Source organism: Homo sapiens, chromosome 22 (assembly GCF_000001405.40).
Source record: "Homo sapiens chromosome 22, GRCh38.p14 Primary Assembly".
NCBI lineage: Eukaryota > Metazoa > Chordata > Mammalia > Primates > Hominidae > Homo > Homo sapiens.
The window spans coordinates 39,450,691-39,465,913 of record NC_000022.11 but is presented as its reverse complement, the minus strand read 5'-3'; the positions used below and the strand labels follow the sequence as shown (position 1 = coordinate 39,465,913).

Sequence of the window (15,223 nt, the reverse complement as noted above, 5' to 3'; positions counted from 1 at the left end):
GTCACCCAGGTTGGAGTGCAGTGGCACAATCTCAGCTCACTGCAACTTCTGCCGCCCAGGTTCAAGTGACTCTCCTGCCTCAGCCTCCCGAGTAGCTGAGATTACAGGCACCCGCCACCATGCCCGGCTAATTTTTGTATTTTTAGTAGAGACGGGGCTTCACCATGTTAACCAGGCTGGTCTTGAACACCTGACCTCTGGTGATCCACCCCCCTCGGCCTCCCAAAGTGCTGGAGTTTTTTTGCATGATTTCATTTTCATATCTCAGGAACCATGGGCCACGGTGCCAAAATAAACCTCATTTCACTATATGGAAATTGAGTGCTAAGCAGGGGAAGTGGTTCGATCGTGTCTAGTGTCTGCAGTAGAGCCTGCCTGACGGGTGAGGGACCTGATGAGTTTGTGCAGCGTTCTACAATTAACAAAGCGTCTTACACACATGGTTTCACTGAATGCCCACAGTGAGTTGGAGGGTATGGCTCTGTTTTTCACTTGTGCCCATATCCCAAGGGAAAACCTTCCAAGGGGTGTAGCTGAGCCCAGGGTATCAGCCCAGAGAGGCCACGTGGCCAGCTGAACCCACCCATTTTTGCAGAGGGAACCTTAACGTCTGGGGCCCTGGGAAACTTACCCAGAGTGCCTCAGAGAGCTGAGGATCCCCTGTGTGGTGTGAAGGAGGAGACACCAGGCCCGTGTGGGACTGCACCCCTCCCTCTTCCCCTGCCCCCAGTTCAGAGCATTTCTCAGCAGGAACCAGGTCAGAGGCCAGCGTAGATGAGCAGGAGCTGGGGAGAGCAAAGTGCTCCGGGCTCAGGACTGAGCTCTGGTCCTGGAGTGGAGAAAGATAAAGCCTGACAGAGGCCGGGCGTGGTGGCTCATGGCTGTAATCCCAGCACTTTGGGAGGCCGAGGCAGGCAGATCACGAGGTCAGGAGATCGAGACCATGCTGGCTAACATGGTGAAACCCCGTCTCTACTAAAAATACGAAAAAAAAAATTAGCCAGGTGTGGTGGCAGGCGCCTGTAGTCCCAGCTACTTGGGAGGCTGAGGTAGGAGAATGGCGTGAACCTGGGAGGCAGAGCTTACAGTGAGCCGAGATCATGCCACTGCACTCCAGCCTGGGCAACAGAGCAAGACTCTGTCTCAAAAAGAAAAAAAAATAAATATGTATCAGGCCAGGCTCAGAGGCTCACACCTGTAATCTCAGCACTTTGGGAGGCGGAGGCAGGTGGATCACTTGAGGTCAGGAGTTGGAGACCAGCCTGGCCAACATGATGAAACCCCGTCTCTACTAAAAATACAAAAATTAGCTGGGTGTGGTGGTGGGCGTCTATAATCCCAGCTACCTGGGAAGGCTGAGGCAGGAGAATCGTTTGAACCCAGGAGGCAGAGGTTGCAGTGAGCTGAGATCGCGCCACTGCACTCCAGCCTGGGTGACACAGTGAAACTCCGTCTCAAAAAAAAAAAAGACAAGAAATATGCATCAAATGCCTTCTACGTGCCAGGCACAGAGCCAGGCCCTAGTGCATGCCCGGTGCCAGCCCGGGGGCCCAACCCATCCCCAGTCACCTGCAGCTCTCCCTGTGCCCCTCTCCTGTGGCAGCCACCATCACTCACCCACCACAATTTGCCACAACCATGTGCCAGGCCCCAGGTAGCAAGATGAGGACTCACCACGAGAGATTTGCCCAGTGCATTAGGCAAGCTCTGGGCATCATGCCCTGCCTGGGACTTGCTTCCAGGAAGAGGCAGAGGCAGCAAGTGCTAGGATGACAGCATGGCGGGGGCGGTGGGGCAGGGGTGAGCGCGGTGTATGAAGAGCTGGTGGGGCCCAGGCTACGAACACAGGCGGGGGCTCGGTCACAGGATCTGGGTTACAAGGGTTGGGGATTGGGAAATCTAGTAGCCACTACAGATGCCAGGGAGCTGTGAACTGGCTCTTGGAATGCACAGGCCTCTGTATCCTCAGGGCAGCATTTTTTATTTTTTTTTAATTTTTGAGATATGGTCTTGCTCTGTCGCTCAGGCTGGAGAGTGGTGGTGCGATCTCAGCTCACTGCAGCCTTGACCTCCTGGGCTCAAGTGATCTTCCCCCTCAACCTTCCAAGTAGATGAGGCTATAGGCGTTTGCCACCATACCTGCCTAATTTTTTTTTTAATTTTTTGTAGAGACAGGGTCCCACTATGTTGCCCAGGCTGGTCTCGGACTCCTGGACTCAATGAATCCTCCTGCCTCAGCCTCCCAAAGTACTAGGATTACTTTGGGAGTCCAAGTCAGTATTTTTTAAACTGTGGGCTTCCAGCCCTCCCGTTGTGAGATGCTCACTCAGCAGGGCTGGCTAGGGTCTGGCAAACAGGTACTTTACGCAGGCCGCCCAGGTGACATTGAGCAGGCGTTCCAGAGACAGGGCCCAGGACAGTGGCAGAAGGAGGGCCTTGAAGGGGAAGCCTGGAGGCCAAGAGGCTAAGTGATGGCTGTCTCAGGGCTCCAAGCCTCAGGGAACAGGCCCTGCTGGGAGCCCACGGGAGAGAAGGAACAGGTCTGGGTGACCGAGGGAGGCTGCTCTCTGAGGGTCCTATAGGCTGGACACAATCCCAGCCCTGCCACTTCCCAGCTGTGGACCCCCAACTCTGGGTACCCTCAAAGTGCCAAACAGGGATGATAATAGTGCTTGCCTCTCAGCAAGTTAGAGACATCTCTGGGAGAATGCATAGAAAGTGGTTGGTTGGCCCTGGGCCCAGCACATAGGAAGTGCTTGATAAAGAGCAGCAAATTATGATGACCCGGAGGCCAAGGTGGGGAGGACAACCATGGGAGCCATCCACCACCAGGCCTGCCAGCCAGAGTCCCAGAACCCACTCGGGCCGGCCTCCCTCACTTAGAACCCTGTCTCTGGGCTGTTCCTTCTGGGAAGTTCCTGGCCTGCCCAGAGAGGGCAGCCGGAGAGCAGGCTCTGAGGTCCTGGCACGTGCACAGGTCTGTCTCCCTGGCCTGGCCCTCACCCACCCCTCTCAAGGGATTCCCACTTCGGTAAGAACCAAAGTTTTGAGCCAAATAAGTTCATAAACAATACGGTAATTAGGTGTGTGAATGATTTCCATTGTTTCAATTTTATTTTTATAGAAAAGATGAAAATAAGTGAGCCAAAAGGGGGAATTCCACTTCAGGCAGCCCAAGGAGAAGTACGTGACAAGTCGGTTAACTTCCTGACTTATGGGCAAGGCCGTGGGTCCCCTTGTCAGCTCCCTGCTGTGAGAGGGGGTTCCTGGCCTGCTTCCAGCCCATGGGCAGCTCCGCCCCTTCCCGAAGCCTCACTGTCCCCTTCCTGGCGGTGGGGACAATAGCCCCTCCCAAGCAGGTCCCTGTACCCTCCCTCTGTAGTGTGAGGCTGCCCTCTGGAGGGTCAGTCCCTTCCATCAGGGATGGAGAAGGAGTAATAAGCAGGACAGCAAGGCTGCTCACCTGGGCTGAGAATTATTCATTCACTCATTCATTCATTCTTTCATTCATTCATCCATTCATCCATCCATCTGCACATTTAACTGAGGGCCTCCTCAGTACCTGTGTCGCTGAAAGTATATCAGGAACACGTAACAAACACGCCAAAGACACCGGCGTGATACTCTGGGAGCTGACAGCAAGAACACCAGGAAGCATGTGGGCTTCCCTGAGCCAGAGATGCTGCAGCTAAGATGTAAAGAGTGGGTCAGTGCAGGCTGGGTGTGGTGGCTCAGGCCTGTAATCCCAGCACTTTGGGAGGCCGAGGCAGGCGGATCACAAGGTCAGGAGCTTGAGAACATCTGGCCCACATGGTGAAACCCCATCTCTACTAAAAATACAAAAATTAGCTGGGCATGGTGGCACGTGCCTATACTCCCAGCTGCTCGGGAGGCTGAGGGAGGAGAATCACTTGAACCAGGGAGTCAGAGGTTGCAGTGAGCCGAGATCATGCCACTGCACTCCAGCCTGGTGACAGAGTGAGACTCTTCTCAAAAGAAAAAAAAAAAAGAGTGGGTCAGTGTGAACAAGAGACTGCACCTCAATTTCCCCATCTGTAGAGGGGACTATCCTGGAACCTCTGTCACTGGCTGCCATAGGAACACAACACATGCTGGCTATTGATATTTTTATAGGCAGGAACGTGTACATGGGAGGGGCTGTAGCATCGGGGGAAGAGCAGAAGGGGAGATGGGTCTGTCTGACTTGGGTTGTGGGGCTGGTGTCACAGAGGAAGGGGGTCATGAGGAAGCTTTTGATGGACAACAGAGTTACAGGGGACAGTGAATGGAAGAGGAATTCAAGTCGAGGGAACAGCACAGCAAGGGAATGGAACATGAGGTTTGGGACCTGCTTGGGCCACATCTCTGAGCTCTCATTGGCTTAAGCTTGGGGCCCATTCTGTGCAGAACCCCAAGGCCAGGCCAAGGTGGAGAGGAGCCCCTCGAAGGAGGGGTTAGTGCAAGTGTGCGTCAGGGTCAGGGGTGCAAAGGGTCTCAGGACGGGGAGGACACCAGAAGCTCTCCGTTCCCTCAAGCCTCACCCCAGGGCTGGTGCAGGGTGGCCCCTCACCTCCAGCCCTCCCATGCCTCCCCCTGAAAGCCCTTCTCACCTACAGTATCGCCCGCAGCTCCCAAATCTAGCTGACCAACACTCTCTGCATCCTTTCCTCCTCATTCAACCATCATCTATTAAGCACCCGCTGAATGCCTGGGGACTAAAGCTGGCACGTACCAGCTCCCATTATGACACTCTTGTTAGGCCATGGGTGGCTTAAAATCAGCCATATGGGGAGGATTTACAGCACAGCGATCGGCCAACTCATCAGGGGTTTGTTTCCCAGAGAGCCAGTTGCCAGCCTACTATTGCCCCCGGTTGGAGCAATGGATCTGGAAAGGCAGGTCCCTGGGCAGGGGGACTCAGTCAGAAAAGGAAGACATCAGGGACACGTAAACAACACATCTCGAAGGGCAGGTGGTGTAGTCTCCAAGGAGGCAGGGGTGAATCGGGAGACTCGTTCTGGAAGGGAGCAGTAAATGGCCACTGGAAACTATGCCAAGCTGTTCAAATAGTAACAGTGCACCCCACCCCCATTTTATTTATTTATCTATTTATTTTTGAGATGGAGTCTCACTCTGTTGCCCAGGCTGGAGTGCAGTGGCGCAATCTCAACTCACTGTAGCCTCTGCCTCCAGGTTCAAGCGATTCTCTCGCCTCAGCCTCCCAAGTAGCTGGAATTATAGGTGCCTGCCACCATGCCCAGCTAATTTTTGTATTTTTAGTACAGATGGGGTTTCACCATGTTGGCCAGGCTGGTCTTGAACTCCTGACCTCAGGTGATCCACCCACCTCGGCCTCCCAAACTGTTGGGATTACAGGCATGGGCCACCACGCCTCGCCTCAGCGCCATTTTAGACACAAGAAAACTGAGGCACAGAGATGCAGAGTCACCAGCCCACAGTCACACAGTGAGAGAGGCAGGGCCGGGATTTGAACCGGGCCACTAGATCTGGAATCCCTACTTTTAGTGACTCTTTCCTTGCCCCCAAGCAGCCAGCACAGGGCTAGGTGGAGCATCGGTGCCAGGGGTATCTGCTCCCCAATGGATTCTAATCTCCTCAGGGCAAGGCCTATGTCCTCTCTGTCCAGCACAGTAAATTATTACCCCTACCTGAGGACACTGTGTTCCAAGACCTGGTCCCCACATGAAGGGCTTGGAGATGGCTAAGATGAGGGGCTGCATCACTGCACTCTGGGGAGCAAAGGGGCTCTGGCTCTTGGGGAGCACAGCAGGATACCCTGAATGACTTGGCTGGGCGGGTGGGTGCCCATGAGGCCAAGAGGGGCTGTCTTTGCAGACCACCCTGCCTCTGGCCACTCCTCACTGCTTATGTAGTCTTCCCAGAATTGCATGAGGACCACGCAGTTCCCCCACCCTCAGCTCTCTGCCGTTCACGTCCAGCCCAGCCCTCTCGTGATTCTCATGGCCGCTGCCCAGTGAAGCTGGCCTGGCCCGCCAGCTGGCATCGGCATCCTCGTTTTCCAGGTAATAATACCGCAGCCAGCGATCTCTTGAGTGCTGCTCAGGTGCCAGGCACCCTGTGTGCATCCTCTCATTCAACCCTCTCTGCAACTCATTCCATTCAAAATTCTCCCCCATTTGATCACACCTGGAATCCGAGCACTTTGGGACATAGAGGCAGGAGGATCACTTGAGCCCAGGAGTTCAAGACCAGCCTGGCCAACATAGCAAAACCTCATCTCTATTAAAAACTTTTTAAAAAATTAGCAGGGTGTGTTGGCTCACGCCTGTAGTCCTAGCTACCCAGGAGGTTGGGGCAGAAGGATCCCTTGAGCCCAGGAGGTTGGGGCTGCTGTGACCTATGATCACACCACTGCACTCCAGCTTGGATCACAGAGTGAGACCCTGTCTCAAAACAAAAACAAAAACAAAACCTCCCCATTTCACAGATGTGGAAACCGAGGCTCAGAAAGCTGACTTCCTGAGGTGGTCCAGTTACTACAGAAAAAGAAATCATCAGGGTTGGGCGAGGTGGCTCACGCCTGTAATCCCAGCACTTTAGGAGGCCAAGGTGGGTGGATCACTTGAGGTCAGGAGTTCGAGACCAGCCTGGCCAACCTGGTGAAACCCCATCTCTACTAAAAATACAAAAATTAGCCGGGTGTGGTGTCGGGCACCTGTGGTCCCAGCTACTCGGGAGGCCGAGGTGGGACAATTGCTTGAACCCAGGAGGTAGAGGTTGCAGTGAGCCAGGATGGCACCACTGCACTCCAGCCTGGGCGACAGAGTGAGGCTCCATCTCAAAAAAAAAAAAAAAAAAAGAAAAGAAAAGAAAAGAAAAAGGAATCACCAGTGTGCCTCAAGTAGCCCTGACCACACCAAGGGCACCAGGCAGACCCTTAGAATGGGTCTGAGCCAGCGGCATCCCCCCAGCCAGGTCTTGGCTCCCTGCCGTCCTCAGGACCAAGTGCCAGCTCCCTGCTGTGCCCTCCCACCTCACCTCCACCTGGCCTCCCTGCCCAGCCTCTGCCCCGTTTTCATCTCACTTCTTCCAGGGGGCACCCACAGTGCCTGACTGTTCCCACTGCCACCTCTCAACACACGCCAGACACTCACACCTCTGAGCCTTTGCTCATGCCATTCCCTTGGCCCACAACGCCCTTCCCACCTTTCTCTACCCAGAGATCTCTGGCAGCTTCCTGTCGTCATCTCTTCCAGTAACCTCTCTCTTCCTCCTGGGCTGGGACCCCTCTTTCAAACCTTCCTAGGACCCAGAGCGGCTCCCCTTAGCACTCCTTAGACTGAAAACCCCCTCAGAGCTGCAGCTCCTGGGGGTGGGGGCTCTCCCCTCCATCCTTCTGCTGGGCTCCATGTCTGGATCTTTCATAACTGCTCCCCCTCCCCAAACGACACGCCAGTGCTCACAACTCCCCCATCAAGGCGAATCTGGACTGGTGTGTCCCAGGAATGAAGTGGGGAACCAGGGAGGAATCCCACTGGGGTAGTGTGTCTGCCCACACCCCATCAGGGGCCTTCAGGGGCATCTTCCGGGGCTGGGGGTCATCCGACCTCAGACCACTAGGTCTGGCCGCGCGGCATCCCTTCCTGCTGCACCCCAGCTCAGGAACCCCACCATACACACACCCAGGCGCACTCCCCTCCCCACTCCCGGTTCCAGAACTCACTATTTGCAGATATTTATAGCGCCCTCCCTCAGCCAGGTTCCCTCCCCCGCCCTGGGCAGAGCAATGCAAGGAGCCGGGGGCCCCCACCCCGGTAAATGGCCGGGGGCCCTCTCCACATTTGCCTCTGCCTGGTCCCCAGGGGTAGCTACGGCCGCAGCCCCCGCACCCGCCCAGCCCCCGACTGCGCTTGGGCCTCGGCTGCCGCCGCCGCAGTCTGGGGTCGGGGGTGGGGAAGGCGGGCGCGGAGGCCTCCCACCCCAGCCCCGCGCCGCGCCGGAGGTTGTGGGGGAGCCGCGCCGGAGGCTGGGGGGTGCCGCGCACAAAGCACGGCTCGAGCCCCGCGCCTCGGGGACGTCCCCCGCCCGGCCGTGGGAGGGGGTCGGGCGCTGAGGCTCTGCCCTCCGGGGACCGGGGAGCTCGGAGGAGCGGCGGGTAGGGGGAGGGGGCCCGCGCCGAGCGGCTTCCCCGGCATCCCGCCCCCACCGCGGCCTCCGGGCCCCCAGCCCCAGTGCGCCCGCGCCCGCCCCCTAAGGTCACGCTCGGGGAGTGGGCCGCGGAGCCGGGCGGGGGGCGCCAAGCGCAGCGCGGGAGGGCGGGCAGCGCGGGGATAGAGGGGCCGCGGCGCCCCCCAGGACGCCGGGGTCAACTCACCCATCGCCCGCTGGGTCTCAGCAACGGCGGCAGCAGCGGCGGCGGCGGCTCCGCGGCCCCCGGGGTCCCCGGCGGGGAGATGCTGGCGTCCGCCGCAGCCTCTCGCCCCATCCCGGGCTCCGGCGGCAGCGGCTGCGGCGGGCGCCCGGCATCGCAGGCAGCGCGGCCCCGGCCCGGCCCCGATCCCCTCCCCCCACCCCCACTTCCACCCCGTCCCGGGGACCCGGCGCGGCCGCTCGGCTGCACCCCGGGGCGGCGGCGGGGGCCCGGCGAGCGGACGGGCGCGGGGGAGGGACCGCGGCGGGCGCGCGGGGGGCGCGGAGGCGAGGCCGAGCGCGGCGCGCAGGGGTGCCCGCTCCCGCCGGCTCAAGCGGCTCCGGCCCCCACCCCGCCCCCTCCGCAACCCCCTCCCCTCCCCCGCCAGCCGGGCTCCGCCGCCGCGCCGGGCCGGGGGCGCCTCGCACCGCAGACTCCGGCCGCCGCCGCCCCGCGCCGCCCGCGCGTGCTGGATCGAGTGTGTGCGTGTGCGAGCGAGTGTGTGTGAGTGCGAGTGTGCGCGCGCCCCTCCTGTGACCGTGCGTGCGCCGGCCCACGGCCCGGGGCGGCCTGCGCGGGGGCGTGTGCGGGGAATGCGGGTAGTTCGGAGTGCGGGCCTGGTGTGCGTGCGGGGCAGCAAGTCCCGTTCTGTGTATGCGTGGACGGGTGCGTTCCGCAGCGTGCCCGGGTCGGTGTGACTCCGTGTGCCCGAGTCTGTGCCTGTGTGTGCATGGACGTGCAGATCCGTGTTGCGGTGTGTGCGTGGATGCGCCTGTGCCCGCGTGAACCTGGGCCGGGATTTCGCATAGGCATCTGTGACCATGTGCAGAGGCCTGGGCCTGTGATGTGTGCACGGTGCCGGGCCTGTTACGGTGTCTGCAGAGTCTGTGTGTCTGCTTGGGGCGTGGGTGACCGCTGTACACCGGCCTGTGTCCTTCCGTCCGACCCCCTCCGTCCCTCACATGCCCGAAGCCACCTGCGCACTCCTGGGGTAACTGGGGGGGCCTCCCCTCCCCCGCCCCCCTCACCCGGCCACCCTAGGCCCGGTCGGCCCTGCCAACCCTCTTGAGCCTACTCTCCTGCCACTTGCCCACCAGCGGTTCTCCGAGGGCCCACCGTGTCGTGCCCTGGCTCCTCGTGGCCTTGCTCTAGGCCATTCCTCTCAGGGCTCAGAGGCGTCCCCCACGTGTTTCCCGCCTTTCAAGTGGTTCCGTTCTGGGGCCTACAGAGCAGCCACTTCCTCCCGCGGTGCGAGGCACAAGGCATTGTGGGTACGCAGCAGACATCTCTGCGCCGCCATCGTCGAAGGTGCAGGGATGCGCTACCTATTCTATATCCCAGCGAATGTGCTCCAGAATAGTCCCAGAGGCCTTTGCTGAACCATCCGGGCTGCCTAGGGCTGGTCTACCTGCTCCAGGTGCCTCCGTGCCCAGCTTCATCCATCCTTGCTGAGGAGGCAGAGTGATCCTACTCCAACATTCACTTGAGCAGGTCACTCTCCTGCCTGCACCTTCAATGGCTCCCACTTGCCCTCAGCTTAAGTTCAGTGCCTGGGCGGGGCACAGGGAGCCCCTGGTGACCTAGTCTTGCCCCCTTCTTCAACGTCACCCTCACTGCTCTTTTCTTCCTGGAGGCTCTCTCTAAGCAAGGGTGGGCAAACCATTTGCTTTAAGAGATTGATTGTAAATCTTTTAGGCTTTGCCAGCCATATGGTCTCTGTCCCAACTACTCAACTCTGCCATCGTAGCATAAAATCAACCATAGACAATACGTAAAAGAATGAGCCTGGCGGTGTTCCAATAAAACTTTATGGACACAAAAATTTGAATTTCGTGTCATTTTCACGTGTCCAGAAACATTTTTTGATGTTTTCCCAACCATTTGAAAGTGTAAGATCCATTCCTAGTTCCTATCACTCTAAGCACATTCCATTATAACATCTCCATGGGCCGGGCATGGTGGCTCATGCCTGTAATCCCAGCACTTTGGGAGGTTGAGGCAGGTGGATCAGAAGGTCAGGAGTTCAAGACCAGCCTGACAACATGATGAAACCCCATCTCTACTAAAAATACAAAAATTAGCCGGGTGTGGTGGCACACGCCTGTAATCCCAGCTACTCGGGAGGCTGAGGCAGGAGAATTGCTTGAACCCAGGAGGCGGAGGTTGCAGTGAGCCGAGATCATGCCACTACACTCCAGCCTGGGCAACAGAGCAAGACTCCATCTCAAAAAAAAAATAAATCATCTCCATGACATGTGCTTAAGGTAATTGTCACTCCCCCAAAATCCAGTCTATTCTGCCCTGCAAAAATGTTGCCCTCCTCCTCTCCCCAGCCTGGCTGTTCAACCCTCTCTGCCCCTTCTTCTCCGGCCCCCAAAGAACCTTCAATTTCTGCTCAAATGTGTCCCCCTCCCCCAATTCCCCATGCCACAGCTCTCCCTGCCTGGGACTCATTCCCCTCTGGAAGGGACCGCCTCACAGACACTTTCCTTCCCCAGAACCTTCTCTCCCTCCCTGAGCCTTCAGCAGCAACTCTGGGCGTCCCTCAGCCCATGAAAGAAGTGCTGTTTCAAGTCTGGATTCTCCATTGAACTCGTTCTGAGCATCAAGAAAACCTTGACATTGGCCCCCAAGCACGAAGGCAGGCACAAAATAATCACATTCCTCCATTTCCATTGCTCCTGGCAAAGGGGAGGAGGACCTGCCCAAGCCCCAGCCCCTGCCCTTGAGGCCCAGTGAGAAGTAAAGACACGCCCCACTCCCCAGGGAAGCTGCCCTGCCCAGAGCTGGCCAGGGTCAGGGGACTTGCTTGCTCTCCATCTTCCCCCAGCTTGGGTCTTTGTTCTCCTGACCTTTCCAGATTCCCAAGCTTCTTGGGAGGCCGAAGTGGAGTCAGCCTTGTTGGGTTCATACCAAAGTCCGCCTCCATGTCCTCAATGCGGCACTCAGTGTGTTGGGCGCTGTGTGGCAAGTACATCTTCCCCACGCCCAGCCTGTCAGAGATAAGTAACTTGCTCGGTCACACAGCCACAGCTGGGCACACCAGGCCCCACCCTCCACCCTCCCAGCTCAGGCCCTGTGGTGCCAGAAGCCTCCCTCCCAGAGAGCTGGCCAGAAGGGTAAACATCCCCCAATTCCTTCCTCCCACATGGCCCCTGTCACTCTTTTCCCCTCCCACATTCACAGAGGCCTGGCACACAGTAGGCACGGAGGTGCTCAGCAGGTGGAGAAGCTGAATCCCAGGGAGCTTAAGACCTGGGTTCTATGCCAGCTCGCCAAGTGTTCCAGTCATTTCAATCCCTAAGCCTCAGTATCTTCATCTGCAGAATGGGACGAATCACTGCCCTGACATCGCATTGACATCAATGGAATCTGGTTCTCTCCATCCTCTCCCAGCCGTCCTCCAGGCCCCACGATGACGTGGGGGAGGCTGGGGCTCCAAGCTCCATGGTGATATGGGGGAGGGTGGTTGGTGGCCCTCTTGCCCCACTGCTCCTCTAGGGGCTGAGCTGCCTGACAAGGAGGCTGTGGGAGCTGGAGGTGGGAAAAGCCCAGATACAAGATTAGCCAATCTCAGGCGGTGTCTCCTTACAGCCCTGCTGTCCCCTTTCACCCAGGCCTTTTTGGCTCTGGGAACAATTGCTAGGTCTGTTACCCTTTCAGCAGCTGCTGCCTGGCCTGTGGGAGCCGCATTCCACCTCCCTGGGGCATCTCACTCCTGGCCCTGGGTCTCCAGGTGGGGAGGCTCCTCACCCATGCCATGAAAACCAAGCCACAGGCCAGGCGCAATGGCTCACGCCTGTAATCCCAGCACTTTGAGAGGCCAAGGTAGGCGGATTACTTGAGGCCAGGAGTTTGAGACCAGCTTGGCCAACATGGTGAAACCCCATCTCTACTAAAAATACAAAAATTAGCCGGCCGTGGTAGCACATGCCTGTAGTCCCAGCTACTGGGAAGGCTGAGGCACAAGAATCCCTTGAACTCGGGAGGTGGAGGTTGCAGCGAGCTAGGACCGCACCGCTACACTCCAGCCTGAGCAACAGAGTGAGACCCTATCAAAAAAGAAAAAGAAAAAGAAAGAAAGAAAGAAAGAGAGAACCAAGCCATCAAGCCCCAGCCCTGCCAAGGCTCCAGGTGGTCAGGGAGCATGGCGGTGCAGTGGGCAGAGTGAGCTGGCTCCGGTCGGGGCCCTCCGAGCTGCGCCAGGGCTCCACACTCAAAGCCTAGGCCCATTGGTCTGCAGAGTGGGCATAAAGGTGGCCACCTGACAGCGTGTGGGGAGGGTGAGGGAGGTGGGATGTGTGACAAGGTGGTGCTGGGCAGCACCGAAGGTGTTTGATAAAGGGTCCTTTGAGAAATTAAAATGAAATCCCAAGCCCCCCAACAGCCCCCCGTCTTGGCCAAGGGAACCCCAGAGAAACCTTGAAAGCTGAGTGCTTGGCTACAACAGAATGGGAGGTCAGACACTCCTCGATACAGCCCCTCCTGAACCCCTTCCTTAGGGAAGAAAGCCTGCTGACGGTTAGGGCTAGCCAGAAACCAGCCCTTTTGAAAGACTTCACCACTGATACCAACCAGCTGTCCGATGCTATCCCTCTTTTGCAGTTTTGACACAATAACTGACCATCATCCCTTCCTGATAAGAAACCATTGTCCAGACAGTCTAAAGTGGACGCCCAGTGAAGGTGTTCGTCAGAGATAAGTGACTTGCTCAGTCGCACACAGCCAGCCCTGGGCACAGCCGGGCACAGCCAGGCACACCAGGCCCCACCCTCCACCCTCTACCCTCCCAGCTCAGGCCCTGTGGTGCCAGGAGCCTGCCTGAGAGCTGGCCAGAAGGGGACACAGCCCCCAATTCCTTCCTCCCACATAGCCCCTGTCACTCTTTTCCCCTCCCGCATTCACAGAGGCCTGGCACACAGTAGGGTCCTGTGCTTCACCTTTTGACATCAGAGGGCTGAAAAACACCCTGCGATCACACTAACGCCACCATTTTTTTGCATGTGTGACTCACTAAGGGGCATGAAGCTTAATTGCACAGGTCCCTGTTTCTCCTTACATCAATATTCATGACTCCCCCTATAGCTTATTAAATATGTATATTCAGCCACCCTGCTCTGTATAAATTCCTGTTCCCTTTGCCCCTCCCTTGAAGCATGTGTTCCTGGCTTCTGGCTGGAAGCTATGCTTCCCAGCCTGTCAGAATGGCTGCCCTGCAGGCTGCAACCCTTTATGAGAAATAAAGCTCTCCTTTCCAAATTTGTGAAACTCATTGTTCTTCTGTTGGCGACTTCCTTCCCCAACACTGGCCAGGTGAAGTCAGATCTGTCCCCTTTCTACCCTCCCCCACATACACTCCATTCAGCTGAGCTTGTCCCATCCACTGGCAGCCCTCTGAAATGCTTGCAATTTCTCTGCCTTTTTTTTTTTTTTTTTTTTTTGAGACGGAGTCTCACTCTGTCACCACGCTGGGGTGCAATGGTGTGATCTTGGCTCACTGCAACCTCCGCCTCCCGGGTTCAAGCGATTCTTCTGACTCAGCCTCCCGAGTAGGTGGGAAGACACGTGTGCACCACAATGCCCAGCAAATTTTTTGTATTTTTAGTAGAGACAGGGTTTCACCAAGTTGGCCAGGATGGTCTTGATCTCTTTTTTTTTTTTTTTTTTCTTGAGACGGAGTCACTCTGTTGCCCAGGCTGGAGTGCAGTGGTACAATCTCGGCTCACTGCAAGCTCCGCCTCCCGGGTTCACACCATTCTCCTGCCTCAGCCTCCCAAGTAGCTGGGACTACAGGCGCCCGCCACCACACCCGGCTAATTTTTTGTATTTTTAGTAGAGACGGGGTTTCAACGGGTTAGCCAGGATGGTCTCGATCTCCTGACCTCGTGATCTGCCTGCCTTGGCCTCCCAAAGTGTGGATTACAGGTGTGAGCCACCGTGCCTGGCCGGTCTTGATCTCTTGACCTTGTGATCCACCAGCCTCGGCCTCCCAAAGTGCTGGGATTACAGGTGTGAGCCACCGCACCTGGCCAGTTCTCTGGCTTTTTAAAATCTCTGTACCTGGCATATCTGTGTTCTGCCCAAAACGCCTTTTTGGAAAAACTCCTACTCATCCTTAAAGACCCAGCCCAGGTGTCTCCTCCCCTCAAAGGCCCCTGAAGGGCTTCTGGTTTCCAGGAGCCCTGCTTGCCTCCATTTGGAGAATTCTCACCTCAAGGCCTTTACTGCTACTGGGTTCTGCCTGGAGTGCCCTTCCCAGCCCAGCCCAAAGAGCTCAGCTCAAATGCCACCTCTCCAGAGTCTCCTCTCACTCCCTTTCTTGGGACCTGAGCACTTCCTGTCTGCTATCCTGGGCTCCTCACCTGGCCTTGCTGTGAGCTCTTGGGCAACTAGGATGAGAGAAGTTTCCCCTAGCCCCTAGCTGGTGCTGGGGACAGAGGGCCCTAAGGGAGGGGCCCCTGCTGGTCCAGGTAGGGTGTCTGGGCCAAGTCTTGCTGGTCAAGCCCTCTAGGCTTGCGTGGCATTGAACAAGTCCCTTCTCTACCATCCTTACTTTCTACACTTGCCGAGTAGGGGTAATGGATTAGATAGGGATCCATTACTTGGGGGAGTCAAGGGATCCAGCAATCTCCTAAAATTCCCAGTAGCATGGTGTGTGTGACTGTGAGCATGTGTGAGTGTGTGCATGCATGTGAACACAGGTGCATGTACACCTGTGGAAGCGTGTGCATGTGTGTGAACATGGGTGCATGTATACATGTGCAGAAATGTGTGCATGCATGTGTACATGGGTGTGTGCCCCTGCCCATCTGTGTGTGTATATGAGTGCAC

At 57.3% G+C, this 15,223-nt stretch overlaps 1 protein-coding gene across 1 annotated transcript in view, besides 6 other annotated features; it reads right to left on the bottom strand.

The window, feature by feature from the left end:
* MGAT3 (beta-1,4-mannosyl-glycoprotein 4-beta-N-acetylglucosaminyltransferase) overlaps window positions 1–8,902 on the bottom strand; it is a 35,183-nt gene extending 26,281 nt beyond the window's left edge. The window contains exon 1 of the mRNA NM_002409.5: window positions 8,357–8,902. The gene's annotated coding sequence lies outside the window, so the exon portion shown is untranslated. The remainder of the gene's footprint in view (window positions 1–8,356) is intronic.
* Window positions 3,382–3,451: an enhancer, noted in NCBI's record as "active region_19052". NCBI's record gives its function as "activates an Ori minimal core promoter by ATAC-STARR-seq in GM12878 lymphoblastoid cells {active_cell/tissue: GM12878}" and the evidence as "EXISTENCE:reporter gene assay evidence [ECO:0000049][PMID:35858748]".
* Window positions 7,257–7,456: an enhancer, noted in NCBI's record as "active region_19051". NCBI's record gives its function as "activates an Ori minimal core promoter by ATAC-STARR-seq in GM12878 lymphoblastoid cells {active_cell/tissue: GM12878}" and the evidence as "EXISTENCE:reporter gene assay evidence [ECO:0000049][PMID:35858748]".
* Window positions 7,777–7,906: a silencer, noted in NCBI's record as "silent region_13754". NCBI's record gives its function as "represses an Ori minimal core promoter by ATAC-STARR-seq in GM12878 lymphoblastoid cells {active_cell/tissue: GM12878}" and the evidence as "EXISTENCE:reporter gene assay evidence [ECO:0000049][PMID:35858748]".
* Window positions 7,917–8,186: a silencer, noted in NCBI's record as "silent region_13753". NCBI's record gives its function as "represses an Ori minimal core promoter by ATAC-STARR-seq in GM12878 lymphoblastoid cells {active_cell/tissue: GM12878}" and the evidence as "EXISTENCE:reporter gene assay evidence [ECO:0000049][PMID:35858748]".
* Window positions 8,917–8,976: a silencer, noted in NCBI's record as "silent region_13752". NCBI's record gives its function as "represses an Ori minimal core promoter by ATAC-STARR-seq in GM12878 lymphoblastoid cells {active_cell/tissue: GM12878}" and the evidence as "EXISTENCE:reporter gene assay evidence [ECO:0000049][PMID:35858748]".
* Window positions 12,798–13,346: a transcriptional cis regulatory region, noted in NCBI's record as "candidate enhancer chr22.2018 targeted for multiplex CRISPR interference". NCBI's record gives its function as "positively regulates expression of the SYNGR1 gene with high confidence and the MGAT3 gene with lower confidence in K562 cells {active_cell/tissue: K562}" and the evidence as "EXISTENCE:mutant phenotype evidence [ECO:0000015][PMID:30612741]".